Here is a 21,840-nt window from a genome sequence, read left to right as displayed (position 1 = left end):
TTTGGGTTGGGGGCCATAACTACTATCTCCTTCTGGACCTCTGACCAAGTTTAGAGGATGTCCAATTGAACTGTTAGAAGAGTCCAAAGAGCCCTGGAAAAAGCATTAGCTCAGTGCTCAGATCAGCTGTATCCATGCCATATTGACATGGGCACAGGCCTCCCTCCCCTTTCTCTGGTTCAGTTTTGTCACATGTAGCAAGGAGAGGCTTCTATTAGAGATGCAGTAATCAACCTTTGCCCAATGTTAGAATTCCCTGTGGGAGTGCTCAGAAAATATTGATTCCCAAAGCCTTAACCCAAACCAATTAATCAGAGTCTACACGTGCTCCTACAAACTGGTCAAGATCAATTACACAGGCAAGCTGGACTTCCCCAGGTACACCCTGGCCAAGGTAGATCAGAAGGCAGGGAGCCTAGATGGCTCCATGCAAAACTCAGCCCCCTACTATAAGAAGGGCAGCTCTAACAGTCAACATTAAGCTTCATTCTGGTTTCCAAAGGTCATGAGTTCAAATTTCCCCCTTTTTCCAAACCTTGCTTCAAGTCCACAAGAAAAAAAATTAAAATGTATTGGAACTAGCAAATCCAACCCCACATGCTTTGACATCAGGCAAGCATTACAACTTTTCCTTTCTCTAAAGGACCAGTCCTATCTGCCATTGTGAATTGTTTTTTTCATTTGCCACATATGGTCTCTATGGCCCAATTTTAAGAATCTCCCACCCTTCACAGAGGGAATGGTGACAAGAGAGAGCTGCTCTTCCTGCATCCACAGCCTTTTGGCTGCTCTAGTGACACATTCCCATGTGATGGTATCACATTCCTGAGGGCGTACCAACTGCTTGTGACCAGGAACTACCTGGCCACAGACTGGGATAAACCATCTACCTCATGATGTCAGCTTATCACCTGTTTCTGGTGGGTTCTCTATGAACTACCTCTCCAGGGCACTTCTTCCCTCCTCATCCACATCCGGCCTCTAATGATGCCTGTTCACCCCTCCACCCAGTTATGCTCCCTTACAAAATTCAGACACAGCTGACCACTTCCAACTTTTTGGAGCTGGTAGAGTTGTCCATTTGGCTCAGTTCCGCACAGAACAAAACCATTTCTGAGATGTGTGCCACCATTCCCGTACCCATGGGAGGGCAGACCAGCCTCCATTGTTAGGGGAGTATAACATTTCTGAATAAATCAGAGTTTCAGAGCAGGAAATAGCCCTCAGAGGTTAGCCAAACCAACCTCTTGTGGAACAGGCTATGGCCCAAAAACGAGCAAGGACTTGGTCAAGATTGCTCTGGAAAGCTAACAGCAAGGCCCAGCATAAACAACAGCTCTTCAACTAAAAAAGAGTGCCTTTTCCATGATTCTCCAATACCTCTTCCTCTCAACAAAAAGTTGGATTGATGCTCTTGCTCCCACCAAGGTACAAACAAGACTCTACATTAGCTAGGTCTAAGCAGCCCCCAAACAATTCTCACCTACTAATAAGCAACTCCCATATGTCCAGGAGCATGGCAAAACAAAATAAGTTATTGGCTCAACCAGGTGGAAAGCACAATTAGCCTTGAAGGCAGTGGTCTGACACTACCAAGAATGGGTTACACAGGAAGCCAGTTGCAAAACCAGAGTCAGGCCAGGCCCCAAGTAGGCAGGACACAAATATAACAGGTGGCCATCCCCACACAGCCCCCAAGTGCTCTCTCTCTAAACATTAGTCTTGACTTACAATATTTAGAAGAGAGACTGAAAAGAGGTTGGGCAACCACTGGAACGGGGGAAGGGCCAAATGTTTAAAGCTGAAACTTCCTTTCTAGCTTCAGAACTCTGACCTAACCATGACCAGAGCTTAAGTCCAGGCCTTTATGAAACAACACTGCCTTCCCTTCCCACACTCCACCCCGTGCATAGTCGAAAACCAAAGTCTTCTGTCTCCCAATCAAGCCTTGTCTCCATTACTCATTAGCTGAGTAATTTTTGCAGCCACTTAAAGTCTATGAGCCCCAGTTTTCCCTTATGTAAAAGTAAAGATAATAATTCCTGGCTGGGTGTGTTGGCTCACACCTGTAATCCCAGCACTTTGAGAGGCCGAAGTGGGCGGATCTCTTGAGCCCAGGAGTTCGCGACTAGGCTGGCCAACACAGTGAAACCCTGTCTCTATTTTAAAAAATAATTTTAAAAAAGATAATAATTCCTAACCTGCCAACTGTAGAGAGTTGATGAATATCAAATGACATAGTAATAACAATAAAAAAGAGTTTTACAACTATGAAACTTGTTACAAATATAGAGAATTATCATTACTTGGACACTGGAAAAAAATTACAGGGCAATGCCAGCCAACCTGTCAAGAGATTCCTTCAATTCGCATCTGACTTGGCTATTTTAAACAGAAAACTATTTGGAAAATGGGCAGCTATCCCCTAAAATTATAAATCCTTTCCAGCTTCCTAACCCTAGAATTTCTTTTTCTGGGATGTTAAGCAGCTAGAGGTTCCAGAAGAACTTGCCCCAAGAGGTTCCTAATGGCTCTTTTAAGATTTTCTTTAAGCTTGGTTCTTCTTGCCAAAGGACAATCTCAGTAGAGTGTGATGAAGGGAGAACTACTCGACTCTCCCTGGAATAAAAGTCCATGCAGGGCACACTCAAACATGTCTTCTCAACCTCCGATCTTTGAAGGATTGCCTCCTTTCTAATCCGATTCTCATAAATATGCTGCCTCTACCTGAGTTCACAGCTGGAGGGATGGTCAGTGAAGGCACAAATGACCTGAGAAGTAGAAGCCTATCACTTTCCTTGCTCCAGAGTGCAAAGTTCACCATTTTCCTTATAGTTAAGGTCAGTTACCCACATCAACATAAGAGTAATACTCTATGGATTACTCAGCAACAGCAACCTAACCACTTCACCCTGGAAACTTTTAGGACACGTTTGCATAACTAATTATGTGTTATTTGGATTATCAGAAGAGCCTGTATTCCCTGAGCTCACATTATTTAGAACAGGCAGTCCACAGGTAGCTGAGAAGAGAGGGGATTTTTTTGTTTGTTTGTTTGTGTGTTTGTTTGTTTTTTGAGAGAGTCTCGCTCTGTCACCCAGGCTGGAGTGCAGTGGCTCAATCTCAGCTCACTGCAACCTCTGCCTCCCAGATTCAAGCGATTCTCCTGCCTCAGCCTCCTGAGTAGCTGGGATTATAAGCACTCGCCACCACACCCAGCTAATTTTTTTAGTATTTTTAGTAGAGACGGGGTTTCACCATGTTGGTCAGGCTGGTCTCAAACTCCTGACCTCGTGATCCACCCGCCTCAGCCTCCCAAAGTGCTGGGATTATAGGCATGAGCCACCACGCCTGGCCGAGAAGAGAGTTTTATTATGGATGGTTGAGAGATGATTATATGGCAATGCCTCATTGGTCCTAAATGGTCTATAAATGAGCTGTATCACAGAAGTGAACATTTTCTGATAACTGAGGCTCACCCGTTTAAGGATCATAACTATTCTTAGTGGTGAGCTGAAAGTCTTTCATCTACTGATATACTCTACTGCTTTTGTCAACAGAGACTATTAAAACATGATTTAAACTTCTCTGAGCACCTGAATCCTGAACACTTGATTTTCTACGAGCTAACATTTCAGAGCCTTCCACTGCTAACTTATCCAAGTTTCCCACCAATTCTGAGGTTAACACATAATCATTCCCACTTTACCAACGGGAGAAGTGGAGGCTCAGGGAGGTTAAGGGATTTCTCCAAGGTCAAACAGCAAGTAAGTATGGAAACACAGATATTCCTGCAAGCCTGGCCTACAATAAATGCCTGGAGATACTTTGGATCCACACCTTCTCAAGTAGCCCAAAAAATTATTTAAAATGTCATTTCCTTTTCCTTTTGGAACCTGATCTCAAACTCCCTGCCTCACAAAGCTCCTGAAAGTGCCAATCACTAAGAGTGTGCAGGCAGCTTCCTGTTTGTCTGAAGGGGAAGGGAATAATGCCTGCAGTGGCCTGTGGGCCTAGCCCAGTCAGGGTCAACCTCTGGTAGCAGAGGTTCCAGGATTAAAGGCTGGGCAAGCAGAACTCTGCCCCACCAACTGTGGAAGTCTGGGAATAAAAAGGCAAGAGAAAGGTGGGGCCTGCCATGAGTGGGCAGAATAGAGCCAGCATTTCTGGTAATTCTGCTTCTCCTCTAGTGGCCTGGTTCCTTCAACATAATCAATACTCTCAAGTTAGAAAGCTTCTAAGACCAGGACCAGTGACCACTAGGCTAGAATTTTTCTTTCAAAATATTTGTATTTCACAAATCACTATCTTCCTCAATTATTCAACTGGTGGCTCACCTACAGCTGAGTGCTCTGCAAAATTCCACTTTCCTACCACCTGGACAAGATTCCTGATGTGTATGTTGTTAGGAAGGGGATTCTAATCTAGCTTCTCTGATAATTGACAGGCCCTTCCACAGCTCTTCTTTGTTTGTTTGTTTGTTTGTTTTTAAGCCAGTCAAATTTAGCAGTGGGGGGTTGTACACCCACTTCAGTGGCTGAGGCGTGGTGGCTCACGCCTGCAATCCCAACACTTTGGGAGGTCAAGGCAGGAAGATTGCTTGAAGCCAACAGTTCAAGACCAGCCTGGCCAACACGGCAAAAACCTGTCTCTACTAAAAATATTAAAATTGGCCAGGCACAGTGGTGCACGCCTATACTTGGGAGGCTGAGGCATGAGAACTGCTTGAACCTGGAAGGTGGAGGCTACCGTGAGCCAAGATCATACCACTGCACTCCAACCTGGGTGACAGAGCAAGACTCTGTCTCAAAAAAACAAAAACAAAAACAAAAACTTCAGTGATGCTAATGTTAACAAGTTCTGACAACCCAGTACCATCGGTAACCCACTACCATCGGACCAGCCTCCACTGCTCTTCTGTGGAGAACATTGGAAAAGCATGTGCCTATCACAAACACACACATATGTACACTCACAAAGTTTCTTTCCTTCACCTCAGACAGCTCCAACAGCCAGAGGTCTTCTGAGGTGCAGGATTCTCAGTCAGGTACTGTCTGGAATCAAACCACCCCAAGCTGGCAAAACCACAAAACAGGAAGGGGACCATGCTAAGCATAGAAAATAAGTTTATCCTACCACTAATCACTCCACTGAGCTCATTTAGACACAGGATCTAAAGCAATCTCTATAGGTGGGGCCTACTGAGCATAGAAAGGGGAGCAGCTACCATCATCTTTCATCGCAACAGAAGGGTTCACATATCACATCTTCAGAAAACCTTCCCTCTCAGACAGACAAATCCTCATTACAACTTCTTTATTTTCCACTTAATGAAGAGTATGGCCCCTTTATTTGTGTAGATTTTAAGTGTTCCACCAATTCATCCAGGCATTGGTGGCTCACGCCTTTAATCCCAACACTTTGGGAGGCTGAGGTGATAGGATTGCTTGAGCCCAGGAGCTCAAGACTAGCCTGGGCAACATAGCTAGTACCCTGTCCATACAAAAAATAGAAAAATAACTGGGCATGGTAGAATGCACCTGTAGTCTTAGCCACTCAGGGGGCTGAGACAGGAGGACTGCTTAAGCCCAAGAGTTGGAGGTTACAGTGTGCTATGATCACACCACTGCACTCCGGCCTGGGTAACAGAGTGAGACGCTGTCTCTATATAAAAAAGCTTTTTTGGCCAGGCACAGTGGCTTACGCTTATAATCCCAGCACTTTGGGAGGCCGAGGCGGGTGGATTACTGGAGGTCAGGAGTTCGAGACCAGCCTGACCAACATGATGAAACCCCATCTCTACTAAAAATACAAAATTAGTCTGGCGTGGTGGCATGTGCCTGTAATCCCAGTTACTCGGGAGGCCGAGGCAGGAGAATAGCTTGAACCCGGGAGGCAGAGGTTGCAGTGAGCCGAGATCGCGCCATTGCACTCCAGCCTGGGCAAAAAGAGCAAAACTCTGCCTCAAAAAAAAAAAAGAAAAAAAAGATTTTAATGTTTAAAAAGTGTTCTACCTATTTGCTGATTTGCTTATTAATGAGCCCCTGTAGACTTTAAAATCGGATTTGACATTAAAAGATGGCCAGCACATACTAAGTTAAAAAAGCAGAACAATACGGATTTGTACTATCTGTGCATTTAAAGGCATATATATACAAATGCATGAAAAAAGAGTCTATGGGCTGGGCGCAGTGGCTCATGCCTGTAATCCCCGCACTTTGGGAGGCCGAGGCAGGTGGATCACCTGAGGTCAGGAGTTCAAGACCAGGCTGGCCAACATGGCAAGACCACATTTCTACTAAAAATAGAAAAAATTAGCTGGACATGGTGGCAGGCACCTATAACCCCAGCTACTCGGGAGACTGAGGCATGAGAATCACTTGAACCTGGGAGGCGGAGGTTGCAGTGAGCCAAGATCGCATCACTGCACTCCAGCCTGGGCAACAGAGCAAGACTCCATCTCAAAAAAAAAAAAAAAAGAAAAAGAAAGAAAGAAAAAAAAGAGTTTATGTTCACATAACTAACTGGTTAATGATGGTTGTCTCTGGAGAATACAGTCAGGGGCAGAAGACAGGAGGCTTTATATTTTTCAATGCTGTTTCATTTCTTACAACAAACATGTTTAGTTTCATAATGAAAAATTAATCCAAAATTGTAAAACAAAGTCTGTATTTATTTAAATCTGTTCCACCACACAGCAGAGATTGTGTCTGTTAACTTTCCTTATATGGCTCAGGACTAAAAAAACAGATGGGAAAAGTCCTTTAAAGACTAGGTGAACTTCAGAAGCTCTCTCTATTTTAGGACAGTCAACCTTACCTAGTAAGCATAAACCTACACCTCTCAAATGCTGGCCCTACCCTTTTCTCAGGAGTGGATGGGAGGAAAATATCTCCTACTGCCCCCAAAATTAGTCTACCTTGGCCAAAAAATACCAAGTCTGCAAAGATAAGCAGCTCTGGGCCCTAAAGCAGCCTGGGTGGTGGTGGTGGTGGTGGTGGTGGTGGTGGTGGTGGTGGTGGTGGTGGCGGCGGCGGCAACAGTAGCAATAGCAAGAGTGGATATCCACTGGATGCCCCAACATTATGATCGCCAGGACTTCCTTGCTATCCTCCCTGGTCTATGCCTGTCTCTTCCTAGGCCTCAGCACAGGGGCCAACCAAATCCCTAAACCTCAGGTGCACAAACCTCTCAGGATTAAATTATGCAATGCAGCCCTGCCTGCTGGCCATGCCATAATGAGCAGCACAAACACAAAAAAATTAAAAATTGAGTAATGTCTCAAATATGTACTGTACAGCCAAACTTTGGGCTACTTCACAAAGGTGGACAGAAATGTTTGCATGGCTGCCTGTTAGAATCCACAAAAAGTTTTGATTTGAATATTCCCACTTGACACGAACACTACTGTATTATGTGAAGATATGGGAAAAGGGAGCAGAAATGGCTATGAACATGCTGGCCACTCACAGATAAACAGTCTCTCCAAGGTGCACAAGAGAGACAATGCCTTCCCATTCCCCGGTGCTACCCTGTTCCATTCTGCCAGGGCCCAGCTGGGTCCACATTAGGTAGTTTCCAGTGGATCAATGGAATTGTTGTTTGGCTATCTGGTAGATCTAGCTAAAGGAATCTAAAGAAGACAGTTCCAACATGAAAATAGTAGCTATTAACATATCTATTCAATAAATATTTGTTGAGAATCTACTTTATGCCAGGCATCATTGTGTTGGGTACCGGGGATATAATGGGTGGTGAGAAACCATCTCTGTTCTCATGAAGCTTACACACTAGTGGGCTAGACTGACATAATGGAAAGAACACACTCCTGAGAGTCTTGCCTTCAATACCAGTTTCTGCTTCTGCCTCAATACATGACCTTGAGCAAGTCCCTTCTTCGTGTTGATTTATAGGTGACCAGTAGATCTTCCACTGGCTCAGGTAATTTGCTTCCTTACAAAACATAAAGTCCTGGGGTGGAATGGGGGTATGCAAATGGCCAAGGCAGCAGCAAGAAGCCAAGGGTCCCAACAACAACAATAAAAACAACAAAAGAAGCCATGGGTAGTATGTGGTGAAAACAAAAAGCAATTAATTGAGATTCTCCACTCAAAGACCTTGAATTTGGCTTAGATGGTTCTTCATGAACTGTTTTCCTAAGACAGATGAGATGGGCAGGCCTCTAAAGAGTATACAGTTAGTGACAGACATGAAGATCTGTCCTTCCCACAGTACATGGCAGGCTTCAGACCAGAAGACCTGAAAGGTGCTCAGTTTCACTGCAGCTTCTACACTTCTACCTATAGCTAAAGGGATGTTAAGAAACCCTCTACTCTAAACCACTTATTTTATACTAAAGAGCTAAGGTGATGGTGGCCCCTCCCTCCCCAGGCACTTGTGGTCATTCTTGAGTAGGGCTGTGCTAGGGCCAGTTGGAGTCAGGCTGCTCAAATGAGTGAGGAGATGGTACTTCCCTGCATACTTCCTACTTAAAAAAAAAATAAAAAACTGGCTGTAGGGGCACCTATGTGGGGTTCAGAGAAACTGTAGCATCTGGCATTCTGGGTTCAGAGGCTTGATTGGAATCACATATAGCACAGAACTTTAAAAGGCCAACTGGAACAAACATACTGGAGTGTCCTGGGCCTACCTTCCTTCCTTTGTGCCTCACACCTCACAGACCACTTGCAGATGCATTAGTGCACTGAATGAATCCTCAGCATAACCCTAAAAAGTAGGTTGCTATTACTCTTTCCATTCCACAGATGGGGAACTAAAATCTGGAATGGTTTCAGAATTTGCACTGGTGACTCAAGGCCAGCTAGGCTTTCTCTGTACTTACACTCAGGCCTCTCTTCCCCATAGGTGCTAATACACCTGTCCCTTCTCCAAGGTGTATTTTCTCTATTACTAGTGGTTAGTATGCCCTACCAGGTGCTCATCCAACACTGTTGGATCCCCTGCATTCATTGCTACTGCTTCTCCCTCACCATGTATATTACTGACCAAATGCTCCTCAAAGGTTTGTCCATTCCTAACCACCTCCACCTGGAGAATGGCCCCTTCTTGAGACAGGAAGAGCTAGAAGCTTCCAAATGCACACGTTTAATGAAAGAGCAAGCCTAGGAGCCCAGATGGCTGCAATTCTGCATGGTAAATAACATAACAGAAGTTCTTACAAAGTACAGTGGGCACATAGAAGATAGTACAATACTATCTGGGAGTAATAAAGAAAGTTTCCAATGGAAGTGACATGGAGTGGGGGGGAGATGAAGAAGAGGCACCTGAAATTTCAAGCTGAAGGAAAGAACATAGGCTAAAGCAGAAAGAAGAGGTATGGCATTGCTTTCCACAGTTAAAAAAAAAATCATGGCCAGGTGCAGTGGCTCATACCTGTAATCCCAGCACTTTGGGAGGCTGAGGTGGGTGGATCACTTTAGGCCAGGAGTTCAAGACCAGCCTGGCCAACATGGTAAAACCCTTTCTCTACTAAAAAAATACAAAAATTAGCCAGGTTTGGTGGCACATCCCTGTAATCCCAGCTGCTAGGGAGGCTGAGGCACAAGAATCGCTTGAACCCAGGAGGTGGAGGTTGCAGTGAGCCAAGATTGGACCACTGCACTCCAGCCTGGGCAACAGAGTGAGACTCTGTCTCAAAAAAACAAAACAAAACAAAACAAATTCAACCTGAAAAAGCTGGATGAAAAAAAGAAAAAGGACGGGTATAGCTTACTTGGACTTGGGAAACCTTGGGCCCACAAAGCTACCACATAGCATACATGTGGGAATAAATGGGAGCTGAGTTGGGAGAGGAAGCTAGAATGGGGTGAGGTACCAAAGGGACCTCCCTATATGCTATGCTAAGAGGTTTCAATTTTCTCTTTTCACATTCATGGGAATGTATCTATACTAGCAAATGCTGGGAGTAATCTAAATGCTCCCCCAAAGGAGAATGGTTTTAAATTATGGCATAGCCTTTGAATAGAATTTTACATGGCCATTAGAATGTTCATTTCTTAAAATTAAATAGCATTTATCTAAGTTTTTAGTGATGTGTTAAGTAGGGGGAAAGAAGGAGAACTTTTTTATGTACACTATGATTGCACCACCAAAAACTAAGGTACATATATGAGATACGACAAGAAATACAAATAATTATTGCCATGTTAAAATGATGAATTTATACACAATTTCTCTCTCTATTTGCTAAACTTTGTCATATGCCATGCTGAGTTTTAAAAAAAGGGGAAATATAAAAAAAGAACCACTCTTCTTCCATTTGACTCTACATTCCTTCTTCCTCCACCTGCTTGCCTACCTTCCCAAACCAACAGCCATTTTGATCCACCACCTACAACTGGCATCGCTAACAACCCATGTGAGGTACCTAGGAAGAATGAGAAGCTTCCAGCAAGGCAGCTGCTTCCAGCAGCAAGCTCCTGCATAGCCCACAGGCCATTCCAGCTCAATGCTGGAGAAGAATCTTCCCCCTAACAGCACTGCCCAGCACTACCCAACTAAGGCTTCTCTGGTTAAACTGCCCAAGGATGCCCAAGGAACTTGTTTCTAAAGGAAGGAAAACAGATGCCAAGACTTCTTGTGCTTTCTCCAGGGGGCTCAGAGCAGGTAAGGTTTATGTTCATGGCCAACTCTTAGGTGGCTGAGATCCAATGTGGGATCCTTGTTTCACAAGCAAGCACTGGATAAAGTGTCAGTGAGAAGGACGAAAAGGAGGAAGAAGTAGAGGATGGGTAAAAACAGATCCAGTGAAGGGTACACCTTTCCCATAAACTTGCTTATTCCCTATCAGCCTTGTAGGCCCTCACAGAAAATTCAGAAGTCCCTCTCCTTTGATCTCCAGGACTAATACCAAAGGAAACCATATTTACAAAATACAGGATCAGTTGAAAGCCCAACACTAGGTGTGTGGCAATCTTCCTGACTAGAAATTCTCCCTTTTGCTCCACCCAAGCCCATATCACCTAGCTCTCCCCGTCCAAGGGCAACATAGTCAACAATGATTCAGATAGAGGAAGGGGAAAGGGAGCTTAGCAATTTAAGACTCAGTCAAAAGCAATTTCATAGCCCTACAAAAAGGGATGTTGTGGGGGAGGGAGTAAAGGAAGTGAAATCTCATATGTCCTCAGTTTTAGCTTGTTTCTTTGTCTTCCCTTTCCCTGATGGAACAATGACCAATCCAAGGGTCTTCTATTCTTCCTGAGTCACAGATGACCAAAAATAGCCAGCAACTGTAGTCTGCAGGCTGGACTCCAAGACCCCACCCAAGGCATGTAGTCAACAGTTGTCTCTCCAAGCCAGAATCTCCACAGTGAGCTCTCTGGTAGGTAGATTCAGTATATCCCAGAGCAGAGCTCACTGAAATAGAGGGGGCTGCTTACATGTTGATAGCCAGAGGAGAAAATGACACACTCAATGCCATTCTAAATGGGAAAAGGAAGCTTCTCCGAAAAGTCACCACTCTGCTCTGCTACACGCTTTCCAAGACCCCTTTCCTAGCCTCTTAAAGACTGGGCACAAATAATCAGAATGTCAGAAAAAGCCAATGTCTCTATTTTGTAGATAAGAAAATTAAGCCTCATAAAAGTGACTTGCCCAAGGTCACACAGGCAGAGATTAAAAACCAAATATCTCACTCTTCTTTCCATTGTACCATTTTTTACTAAAAGGTATTTTTAAAGACACCCAGACAAGTGCCCCAAGCTGTAAGTGTCAAAAGCTCAGCTCTTCTAACCTAAAGTTAGACAGCTCAGGACTGGGAAGGGGAGGTAGAGGGAACTTAGACTCAGCCCACCCAGGAAAGCCAAGTGAGAAGGCTAGGCATACAACAGGCATACTTAAAGAACTAGACTTACCAACTGGAAGGCTTTACCTGCTCCAAAGAAATAGTTTCAAATGCTGAAAGCCCTAGCCCCATCCCACCCCCACACTCTGAACCTCTTTAGGCCAATCGAGACCACTCCTAGGCTGTCAGAGATCTAGGTAAGAAGCTGTAGAGGAGTGACCAGGCAGTGCCAAGAGGATAAAGGGAGATAAGAAAGCAGGGTGGAGAAATCACAGTCATTCCAGAGCTCTCCCATCTTCCTCTCTCCTTCCCCACTCCTCCCCCATATTAGGACTCTAAACAAGAAGAAAAGAAGTTTGCAGGTGGTATTGTATAAACTTGAAGAAGGCATTCCCTGTACTAAAGGAGAACAGAGGACTAGTTGAGGTGGGGTGGCAAGGAGAGGGAGTAACTTGAGGGGGGAGAAAATAGCCAAATAAGGCAGACTTGACTGGTAGGAATCATCAGGAAAGGTTCCAGAAGTTGACGTTGCAGGGAGGAAGCCTTTAGTCATCGGTTTCCTCTGGCAACTGGCCTAAGACCAGAAGGAAAAAAACTCCCAACCTTAGGAAAATGCCCAGGCTATGGCAGACAGAAAGGCAACTAGGCTAGATTTTCACCAGGCCCACATCAGGCCCTGCTGGAGCAACTCTTCAAGCACTCAAAGTAGAAAGATGTAGTGTAACCCTAAAGCAAATGGCAGATGTCCCCACCAAGCATATGCTAGATCTACAATGGCCCAGGCACCAAGGGGAATAAGGAACCTGGGAGGGGGGTTTGTTCTTTTCCATTTACATATTTCTTTTTTTTTTTCTTTTTTTTTAGACAGAGTCTTGCTTTGTCACCCAGGCTGGAGTGCAATGGCGTGATCTCAGCTCACTGTAACCTCCACCTCCCAGGTTCAAGTGATTCTCCTGCCTCAGCCTCCCAAGTAGCTGGGATTACAGGCTCCCGCCAACACGCCCGGCTATTTTTTCTATTTTTAGTAGAGACAAGGTTTCACCATATTGGCCAGGCTGGTCTCAAATTCCTGACCTCAAATGATCCACCTGCCTCAGCCTCTCAAAGTGCTGGGATTACAGGCATGAGCCACCACACGCAAACTCCATGTGCCTCTTTCTAATATTGCTGATATTTTCATGTTGGAGAAAAAGAAAATTAAAAGGCAAAGAAGTTATGTGACTTTTCTTCTTTGTAAAGGAATTAGTCAGTCTCCCACAAGTATCTACAAGGATGTTTGGAGAGGAGTTTAGCTCACTTAAAACCCTTGAAAATAGCAAAGATTTGTACGACTTAACTAATGATGCCCAGATTGACTGTTACCTTGACCCTCACCCTCCAACTCTATACCATAGATTAGTCAACCTCAGTTAAAAATTACAACAGATAAAAGAGGCTCTTGGTGAGCTTCATCAAACATCCAGGCTGAGAATCTGAAAAAATAAATGGATCAGCCAGGCGCAGTGCCTCACGCTTGTAATCCCAGCACTTTGGGAGGCTGAAGCAGGCAGATCACCCGAGGTCAGGAGTTCAAGACCAGCCTGGCCAACATGGTGAAACCTCATCTCTACTAAAAAAAATATAAAAATTAGCCGGGCGTGGCGGCGCACACCTGTAGTCCCAGCTACTTGGGTGGCTGAGGCAGGAGAATCTCTTGAACCCAGGAGATGGAGGTTGCAGTGAGCCAAAGTCATGCCACTGCACTCCAGCCTGGGCAACAGAGCAAGACTCCGTCTCAAAAAAAAAAGAAAAGAAAAAAAAGGAAATGGATCATGGGTTGGAGGGAAGGCAGATTAGATCACGAAAGTAAGATCAGGAACCTTATCTAAACACACAACTTGAGAAAAATAAGACTTGATCCTTCTCAGGTATTTAATGGAGGCCAAGGCTAAAGAGAGGGAAAGAAATACTGATCAAGCCTGACAGGTATGCCTTGTTCCCCCTCCTAGGCCTTGGCCCCAGTCACTTCCCAAATATATACCCAGGAAAAAAATTTTCAGGATTATATCTTGTTTTGTACAACCAAATTGTCATATCTCAACTCTTCTCTCATTAGGCCCTGATCACTACCCTGGATGCACAAAGTATCTATCAAATTCCCACAAGGTAGAAGGGTTGCCAGGAATGGGAAGAAACTTCAATATTCGAAGTCACCAATCACAGAAGATAACTGGCAAAACAGTTCTACTAAGCAAGCACAGAGCCATTTGCCATATTAGTGGCCTAAGAGCTATGTCAACACTTACCTTATGCCACAACAAGCCGATTGAAAGGAGCATCAGATCTGGTATCTGTGTCATTAGGCACAGACAAAGGGCTGTGCTTTGAAAGTCGCCCAAAAGGCCTTTTCTCCAAATTCAAGACCCAGATGCTGCAGCTGTGCCCTGGCCAGAAAACGTCATACTCCTCCACCTCTAACAACCACACACTGAGAAATCCTCCCTGCCATCTCCACCCTTTCCCAAATACCTGATTTTATAGCAAAGTCAATGAGAGAATTAAAAGCTGTTTCTAGGCTGCTGACATAAAGTTATTGCCAAGCTCTATTCTTTGGTTTAGTTCATGTGTAAGCATGAAGAAAAGACCCTCTCACATACCTACTTAGGCAACAAAAGCAACATTTTTAAAAATTAATTTGCCCAGGCTGGGCGTGGTGGCTCACACCTGTAATCCCACCACTTTGGGAGGCTGAGGCGGGTGGATCACCTGAGGTCAGAAGTTCAAGACCAGCCTGGCCAACATGGTGAAACCCCATCTCTACTAAAAATACAAAAATTGGCTGGGCGTGGTGGCGCATGCCTGTAATCCCAGCTATTTGGGAGGCTGAGGAACGAGAATCGCTTGAACCCAGGAGGCGGAGGTTGCAGTGAGCCAAGATTGCACCATTGCACTCCAGCCTGGGCAACAGAGCTAGACTCCATCTCAAAAAAAAAAAAATTAATTTGCCCAATTCTGGAAAACCAAAGGTATGGTCTCCCCCACAGGCCCTTGTTTGCCAATTAAGAAAGGATTGTTGGATCCAAATTACCCTAGAAAGAGTAGCTTCATCTATGCTTATATCTGTGGCTCCCCTTGAATCAGTCAGCAGCTCAAGCCTCCCTTCACTTCAGATAAAGTAACTTTCAAGAGAGCATTGGTCTAGGGCCATTGGTTTACACCCACATACCAAAAACACATCACTTTCCCACCCAGAACGGCCACTGCTCCCAAGTGTACACACCCTTTAAGGCCCTGTTCATGTCCCAGTAAACCCTTTCTCCTCAAAAAGTTGTAGAAAATGCAATGCAAAGTATATATTTTTCTCAAGCCGTTTTTAAGTGAATTAGCCCTAAATCCCCAATTAAATAGGAGATAGGAGATCTTTGAAGGCAGCAGTTGTATCATCCCTTCATTTATTTCTATCCCTTATGGTAAATAGTACATAGTAACCACTCATTAAATGGTAAGAATTCAACTACCTGTCTTCTTTCTTATCCATCCCATCTAGCACAAAGTTAGGCATATAGTAAAATTCAGTAAATAATCATAACATTTGTATATCACTTGTTAGATTCTAGGCACAGTTCTAAGCCCTTTACATAAATTACCTCATGTAATCCTCACAGCAACTCTGTAAGTACTATTATTATTTATGGTTAAGGAAAATGAGGTGCAGAAGTTAAATAACTTGTCCAAGGCTATATAACTAGTTGGTCGCAGAGCTAGATTTGAGTCCAGGCAGTCTAGTTCCAGAGTCTGTTTTTCAACACTACTCTATGCTTCCTTTCCACGGAGGCTTGAAAGGTCTTTTTTTAGCTTCCTGCCCCAGGCTTGGCCTATAAGCACCTAGAGGTGAGTGGTGAACTTTGAGGCCAGGAGATTCTAGTCTGCATTCAAACAATTTGCTACAGCAGCAAATACTGTCACTAAATTGAAAAAGTGCCATACTGTTCTCCTAACTCAAGGGACAGATCAAGCTGGAGCGCTGAGTCAGAATTCAGAATTCAAAAAGGTCAGAGCTCAAAATTAAACAGGGCAAAGAGAAAGCAGGGAACTGGGGTGAGGGGTAGACAGGAAGAGAAGACAGTCATCGGAGATCCCAGAAAAACTTGCTATAGCAAAACCATTTTAGGGGAACTCCATTGTACCCATCTTGTTAATGTAATCACCACAGAGCCAGTTCTCTGGAAGTCTGTGCTCTCTGGGTGGAGTCATCCTTCTAAGACAGCCAAGTCCAGTGGGAGACCACTAACTTGGGAATTAGGAAATCCAAGTTCTCCTTTCAATACTGTTACCAACTATATGTGACCTCGAACAAGCTGCCTAACCCCTCTGGCTATGAATACGATGAAGAAATTACTCTCTAAAGTTTCTTAGGACAGCAAGGCCTAGTCTCAAGCAGGAAAATGTGACTAGTGTCCTCTCTCTACCTCCCTTCAGCCTACACATATGCCTTCCACCACCCGTCACAAGCCAAAGCAAAACACTTACCTTCCTGGGAAGTGCTACAAAGAGTTCCTGAGACAAGGTCAGAGCCTGAGCCATTTCCAAATAAAGAAACCCATGAGATCAGCTCTACACACTCAGAGGAACTTGCTCTTCCCATGGCCATAACTCCACGGTCATGTCACCACCAGCACAGAGGGAGAAGACACTGAGCACCTCACAGTGAGTGCCATTTAGAAGGTAGGCATTCACCATCCCTCCCCTACACTGGAGCCAAGCAAGTTAGGTTTTAGTCCTGGCACTATCACCAGTTCACTCAAATCCTTTCCCTTTTCTGGACTTTAGTGCCCCCATCAAGAAGATAAAGGCTGAGGCAGAAGATTTAAGGCCAGCTCAGTTGTTCCATGGTTCAAAACACTCCTGTGAGAAACCCTGCCCATCCAGAACAACCAGCTAAAGGAAAGCTTAAGGCTAGGGAAGCTCTGGGTTGCCCTAGATGCAAATGCCTTTAAAATGCTGTACCCCATACAAAATTAGCTGGGCATGGTGGCGCATGCCTGTAATCCCAGCTACTCGGGAGCCTGAGGCAGGAGAATCGCTTGAACCCGGGAGGTGGAGGTTGCAGTGAGCTGAGATCGTGCCATTGCACTCCAGCCTGAACAACAGCAAAACTCCGTATCAAAAAAAAAAAAAAAGCTGTACCCCACAATAGCCAGTCCTCAGCTCACTGGTGGTAGATACTTTATGAGGTTTGTTTAGGAGCCCTTAGGAAGGCCTCAATATCTACCAATATATCTAACTACCACACTCACCATGTTAGAAGAAAATCTGAAACATAATCTAGTAGCTTCCGGGCCTTCCTTTCAGCAGAAATAAAAAGGACTATTCTACTATCAGGCAGGCGGTCACTGAAAAATGTGGGAAGAATGGCAGGAAAATCTATGAGGCTTTTAGTGTTTGTCCAAAGCTTTTCAGTCAACCCACAGTCTTCATAATATACTCTCACTTGGTTTATTTCTTTCCACAGTAAGGAAAGACACAGCCCTTTCTCTCCCATGACTCGGGAAGAAATGGCCAAGAGTACTCAAGCCAGTATTCTTCTTGGATCTACTAATGAAACAAACCAACTCCCATGTGAGAAACAGTCCATTCTGAACTCAGCACTTAAGAAGAAACAGCACTCAAGGAGTATAATGGGACAAGAGGATACATTTTAATAAGCGCTGTTCAATTTTGTATTTCCAATACTGCCTGGCACATAGAAGGTACCCAAATGTTGAAGAAAGAATGTCTGAAGGAATGAACATACATATAAGAGACTCAATGCTCTTATACCATCAAGATTCTCAAAAACATCAGTACTGGAGGGATTCCTAGAGTTTACCCATCACTGGTACAGCTCCCTCATGACAAGCTGGAGAGACAGAGGGCCTGAAGAAAGGACTTGCCTAAAGTCCCACTTCATTTGGCTCACTTTACTGAGGACAGGAGAGAAGTTCTTCTTATATGGAAAGAGAAGAAAAATTCTCAGTTCAGTGATGCTTTCCATTTCCCAGCACCCACCTTCCAAATTCATGGAATCCTGAGCTAATCCTCCAAAGTGACAACTTCTATACCACAGATTAGAACCTGGAATTGAAAAGTTTTTCAGCTCTCTCAAGCATGAAATGGAAGGAGGGATGGACAGCAAAGCCAGTCAGTCATGAAAAGACCACCCCCTTCACTTGAACCAACAGACTATCCCAAAGGAGACCACATCTGTACCCTGTTTTTTCCTTTTTGCAAGCAAAGTAATAGAGCAGGTGGCAGGGAAAGAAGATTCTGAGTTAGGAAAGAGGCACATGATAAATTCAATTCTATCTTTGAAAGATTAGAGACAGACTATTAGCAATCTGTAACAATGCCAAATTTCCAGCAGCTATGGTTATGAAAGGCCTAACTCTGGTAGTGTTGGTAGCCAGATATTCTCCCCTCTGGGGACCCTGAGTCTAGAAATTCCAGTGGGGGAAACTCCCAGAAAGATACAAAGGGACCTAAGACAGGCTGTTGCCATGCAACACTAGAACAGAGTTCAGAATAATTGTAGCTGTCATATTATCTCATCCAGAGAGAATTAGATTTGGAGGCAGGGGAAATAGACTAGATGACTTCCAAATGTCCTTTCCAGCTCCATCATTCGGTAAAGTAGTTTCATGGGAGGAGGAGGTAAGAGAAAAGTAAGAACAACACCCTAAAACAAGCTACTGTTGCAGGCAGCTAGAGAATGGAAAGTTAGAAGATTAGTGATCAATACTACTTCTATCACTGACTCACAGAGCAACCTTTCCCTCTCCAAGCCTAACACGAGAGAGCATAGATTAGTTGGTGTGGGTCCCACAAAGGCCTTCCTGCCCCACCAGCCCCCTCCCTACCCAGAGGGCTGTTAAAAGAAAAGCGTAAAGGAAATTCCCAAGATGGTTCCTGCTCTGTCTCTATCATCTACACTTTCACAAAGGGCCAAGTGAACTGAAGAACCCAAGTGGAGAGATGCAGGATCCTCTCTCATATGACCTCTCTTCCTGATCCTTTTCCCCCCACTTAAGTCTGTAGGCAGGGCTGGTTCAAGGGTTAAAAGACTAAGAATCTGGCTCCTATTTACCAAGTACCACTTTAGTGCCACTCGAGTGGCTCAAGTAATGCTAGGAATGGCAGGAGAATAAACAGTCCACATAGTCCCTGTTAAAGTTTAGCTGAATGCCGACCCAAACACCTTCAAATACTTCAAGGATCTAGGCTCTATGTCTGCTCACATTGATGGTCCCATCAAATGACCACTCGATTGCCTTTCCCCTGATCTGTTGATCTATGGCTAAAACCCCAGCAGATCAAAGAGGTGTTTCACCAAGACTGACCCTCTAACTAAGACCTAGATTCAAGTCCTAGTTTTGCAACTGGCATACTGCATCACTCTAGGTTAGTCTCCCCCTAACATGAGTTTCAGTTTCATCATCTATACAATGAGAGGAATTGGACTTTATAGTTGTGGAGAGCCTTTTCAATACTAACATCTAATAAATCCCAAGGAAGGAAACCAGAAACTCAAGAACATCTCGAAAATTCAAAACACTCTTTTTTTAGGAAATCCAAGAAAGCCTCAAAGCCTTTGTGATCCTAAAAGAAAAAAATTAAAGAAGGTAGGGAGGGGGAAAGGCCTTTTTAAATATATATATATATATATATATATATATATATATATATATATATATATATATATATATAACTGTCATCATCACCAAAAAATGTAGATGGCAATTAATAAGCTTTTCCATTCTGGCTACTAAAGCAGACTCAGGAAACTGGCAACCAGAAGCAGAGTCCAAGGAATGGCAAGAAGGCAAGGGTGGCGGTGGGTAGTGAGGCATGTTTTTTTGTTTTTTTGCTTTTTTTGTTTTTGAGATGGAGTCTCACTCTGTCACCCAGGCTGGAGTGCAGTGGCGTGATCTCGGCTCACTGCAACCTCCGCCTCCCAGGTTCAAGCGATTCTCCTGCCTCAGCTTCCCGAGTAGCTGGGATTACAGGCGCACACCACCACGCCCAGCTAATTTTTGTAATTTTAGTAGAGACAGGGTTTCACCATGTTGGTCAGGCTGGTCTCGAACTCCTGACTTCATGATCTGCCTGCCTCGGCCTCCCAAAGTGCTGGGATTACTGGCTGGAGCCACCACGCCCGGCTGGCGTGTTTTAACAAATGTAGGGGAGGTTGGGCTGACTAGGAGGGACAATTAGCTATAAAAGTGAAACCGACCCTAGATAGGTTGTAGACATGCTGCAATATGAATGAACGAGTTTGATTTTCCACTACCTTTCTCCATCTGTCACACGCTAGAAATAGCCTAAAGCACATAAATGAAAATGGAGCAGAGAAAGGGAAATTTTTTCCCCTTTTAATTAAAATTACTGGTTGGTATTCAGTGAACTAGGGTGTGCCCCTGAACACCTTGGCCTTGGTATGAGGAATAAGAAAAGTAACAGAAGGCACCTGGTGACACTACCGAACCTTACCAGGAGACCACACAAATGTCAACCTTGGCCACTTTGCTCAAATTACTCATTTCCTTTTATCTGAGGACCATAAAGGTCTGAGAACAGTGGGCAATTTGTTTGGAGCAAGAAAGGGAACTCAAATGTCAAGAACTCAATCATTGGGTCAGAATAAAGGGTCAATGAGATGAGCATCAGAAAGCCTGGACCCCAATCTTGGCTCAGTCACCATGTGCCCTTAGGTAGGTCTTTCCCTGTAGGTCTCAATAGCCTCATTAGATTTTTGTTTTAGTTTTAGTTTTTTTTTTTAAGAGAGTTGTACTAAATAGTCTCCAAGGTCCCTTTCAGGTTAAGATTCTATGATCTTAACAGACATAATATAGTTGCTTTTCCTAAAAGTTGACCATTCCTTGAGTCAAAGTATAGAAAATTCTCTAATACTTCCAGTCTATCAAAATTCAGCCCTCTCCTTCCAATTTGATTCAGGTTTCAGTCAATCTGCATAAAAATGCCTTCAGTATTTAGGTACCCTCATTACTCCAGGCCTGACTACAAACAGCTTATACTCCATTCTCTCTCCATTCCCAGGAAAACAATAAACACGCTGTCTTGTCTTCTTTGCCACTTTGACTCAGATGAGACGGTTAATGCAAGTTTGAAGCAACTTCCAGGCCCATGAAGCTGTGTTTCAAAGTGGGCTATCTCAGAACTGAGGATGAGATATGCCACTACAGAAGAAAGACCGTGGAGCAATGTCTATTCCCAGAGATCCACCCAACTGTTCAGGCAAAGCCGCACCTTAAGAGGAGTCAGGAGTCAACCACAGAGAGAGACCCAAAGAGCCGCTCCTGACAGGATCTTTATAATCTTGTTTTGGCAGACAATGGGATATTTTCCCCTCTCTCCAAAACCATTACTCTCTCTCTTTGGGGGCGGGGACTAGGGAACAAAGTGTGTAAAAGCCTCATGTCCTAAAACCACAAGCAATTTAAAGGAGATAGACAGTGAAAGCACATACTTTTTGAAAACTTGGTGTTTCTGAAGGACAAGGTTCTGGAAAGGCAAGAACGACTTGGCAGTGAGGCTGGTATACAGTAACGTGGCAACCAAAGCTCATCACAAACCCAAAAGGCTGGGCCCCCAACTCTCCTCCTCTCATCCCAGGGGACCTTCAGCCCTTTTCAAGGCTACTAGTCACTATCTCACCTCTACAAGGCTCAAGCAGTCCTGGGGAGACATGTTTGGGAGCACTGCATTGCCTAGGCCAGCTCAACAAGCTGTTTGGCCTAAGGGACTCAAGCCAGGGTGGTCACCAGGCCTTTCTGAGCAAGGGAAGGGCCTCAGCAGCCATTTGGCATGACTTGCACAAAAGCAAGCAGAGCTCATTAGTCAGGCACACCCCTCCTCCCCTCTCCCTCCTGGGCATCCGGCCCCCCTATCCCCACTCCCAGGAGGCTTCTGTTCCTCTCGTAACAGCCAGTGGGGTGGAGACGCATCCCCAAATCAACCACCACTCTAGAAAGGTGTGGCCCCACGAGAAAACCCACACCACA

General features: G+C 44.5%; 1 protein-coding gene across 4 annotated transcripts in view, besides 1 other annotated feature; it reads right to left on the bottom strand.

Annotated features, from left to right (window-relative positions):
- Positions 1–21,840, bottom strand: part of MSN (moesin) — a 153,555-nt gene that overhangs the window by 51,510 nt on the left and 80,205 nt on the right. The window lies entirely within an intron of this gene.
- Positions 1,848–1,897: a silencer, noted in NCBI's record as "silent region_20882". NCBI's record gives its function as "represses an Ori minimal core promoter by ATAC-STARR-seq in GM12878 lymphoblastoid cells {active_cell/tissue: GM12878}" and the evidence as "EXISTENCE:reporter gene assay evidence [ECO:0000049][PMID:35858748]".

This window comes from Homo sapiens, chromosome X (assembly GCF_000001405.40).
Source record: "Homo sapiens chromosome X, GRCh38.p14 Primary Assembly".
NCBI classification, from domain to species: domain Eukaryota; kingdom Metazoa; phylum Chordata; class Mammalia; order Primates; family Hominidae; genus Homo; species Homo sapiens.
Note: the sequence above shows the minus strand (reverse complement) of the source record. Positions and strands in the feature narration are given on the sequence as shown.